Here is a 2,374-nt window from a genome sequence, read left to right on the forward strand (position 1 = left end):
AGGAAAAATTTATGCAAAAGAATATTGAACTGTTCTCTGGAAGAGTAGGATCCCAGATTTTGGGGTAAAAAGTCAGGAAAATACCTAAAATCATGTCACAAAACTGGTTCACTAGAAAACTACCGTCTCTCCTGTTGGGCATATGTTACATAGTTTCCAATGCCAATCCCAACCCCTGGACACTGGGCAGGTCCCACTAGAATCACAGCCATTGCCATCTCTAGAAATTCAGTGCATGACAGCTGCTCCCATTCTCACTGAAATTGATTCTTTCTGGTCTCTGGTTCTTTGCATCTGCAGAGGATGATTCAAAATATGGGAAAGCAAAATCTGTCCCAGAATTGCAAGAAAAACCACAAAAATGGCTAGGCAGGTAATAATATAGAATTTTCCTGTTCTATAGTGAGTGGCAAGTTTTGTCTAATAATTTGGAAATTTCATGCAGTGCAATTCTACCAGTATATTAATGCCTATAGAAAGGGGGTTAATACACCGGATAGAATTGCACAGTAAGAAATATTCTTTCTTTCTCTCCTCCCTCCTTTCCTCTCTGTCCTCTTCTCACCTCTCCTGTCCTCTCTTCTGTCTGTTCCCTTCCCCCGCTTACTCTCCTTCTCTGTATCTACTAATAAGTTGTAAGAATGAGGCATGCTATATAAAGAAATGTCTTGTGTTATTTCAAGTTCCTGACGAAATTTGCAACGTTGATATCCAGAGGCTCCTGGAGCCCTGAATACACTCACAGCGCTATTTGATTGCCCTGATAACTACTCTCAGAGATGCTTTGTGAAACTAGAGAGGTAAAGATGTTTTAAACCTGAGAGACTCAGTATGAAACCTGGCCACAATACCAATAAAGAATACAAAAATGGGGGACTATACAGGATGAGAACACTAAGTATGATGTGAAAACTCAGGGAAGGAAAGCAAATTCATGCAGGAGAATCACCTTCCTGAAATACAAAACATAGCGTTCCCTAGGAGAAGTCAGGAGGAAGGAAAACTACTATCCATACCAATGACCTTGATATTCCTGTAGGAATTTTCACTTCCTCTTGTAGTGTTATGTTTATTTAATTAAAGAAGGGATTTCCTTACAAGTCACAGGGCTAGCAAGCAAAGTAGAGACCTAAGTAGGCCCTGTCGTTTTGGTTTCTTCCTCACTCCTTCTCTCTGCCCTCTTTTGTCAATGCTGGGTTCAGCCCATGTATAATTCCTTAGGCCTTGAACTTGTGTCTCCATCCTCTTTTACCAGGTTAACTCCTACTTACCCATCACCTATCTACAGCAGACTTTACTAGCATACCCCATTCCTTATTCTGGGTGAATGGCCTACACAAGACTAACAGCAGTGGAATGTTTGCAGAAGTTGTGGAGGTGAAATGACAATGCAGTTCATTTTACTGTGTCCTCCAATTTGTCAAATCATGTCAGAACAATTTTTGCCAAAGCCATCCTAAGTTTTGCCAAGGCTTTGGTTGAGTGAGCACAGGAATGCTGGCTGATGGACTGAAACACTAAAATAAGACAGTTTTGCCATTTGTCTGAGAAACAGAATATGTCGGTTCATCCAGAAACTAGCTTCAACGGATAAGCTAAATATCAAAAACTGTATAGAGAGAACAAAGCTGTAACAGCTTTCAAAATGGTACTAGCTTGGCAAAATGAGGACATGCATTTGCTTTTTCTCCAACTCCAAATCTAAAAAAATTCTTTTTAAAAAATTAAAATGACAAAAAAATAGAAATCCAGACTGGATAACCCTAGAATATGGAAGACCACCTGACTTTATATATTTTTACATATCTTATCCCTCCCCCAAAATAATTCTACATGGGATTAGCACTAGGCACAAATAAAACGGCCCATGATACAGCTTCAGCAATACTAAGAGATAGAGAAAGATTTAACATATTTAATAGTAAGTCTAGAATGGTAGGAACATGAATGCCATAGACAGTAGACACATATTATATGTACTGCAAAAGCAAAAAGATTGTATCTTTAAAAAGTCAAAAAGGGGATAGAACAAAGACAATAGAAAATGAGATAATTCAATACTGTATACATTGTTAAGTGGAATCAAAGGATGATATTTAGAACTAACAACCCAGATAGTAAATGGTGAAGGAAGAATAGAGGGGATTCAGGACACTTATAAAAGGCATCAATATGAAGGTAGCTGCTAGAACAGAAATACAAACATGACTAAATATCAAAAAGTAGAGAGAGAGAACAAAGAAGACACTCCACACAAAGAAAAATTAATATGAATAAAGAGAAATTATAAAATAAAATATTATGGTAGAGCTGGGACCAAATACTAGTCATATCAATAAGGATAAATGGGCTTACTTTCTCTACTAGAAGAAAA

General features: G+C 37.7%; 1 annotated feature.

Annotated features, from left to right (window-relative positions):
* Window positions 699–1,225: an enhancer, noted in NCBI's record as "NANOG hESC enhancer chr2:14337206-14337732 (GRCh37/hg19 assembly coordinates)". NCBI's record gives its function as "activates a minimal SCP1, AML or CMV promoter by ChIP-STARR-seq in primed H9 embryonic stem cells {active_cell/tissue: H9 hESC(primed)}" and the evidence as "EXISTENCE:reporter gene assay evidence [ECO:0000049][PMID:30033119]".

The sequence above is a fragment of the Homo sapiens genome, chromosome 2 (genome assembly GCF_000001405.40).
Source record: "Homo sapiens chromosome 2, GRCh38.p14 Primary Assembly".
NCBI classification, from domain to species: domain Eukaryota; kingdom Metazoa; phylum Chordata; class Mammalia; order Primates; family Hominidae; genus Homo; species Homo sapiens.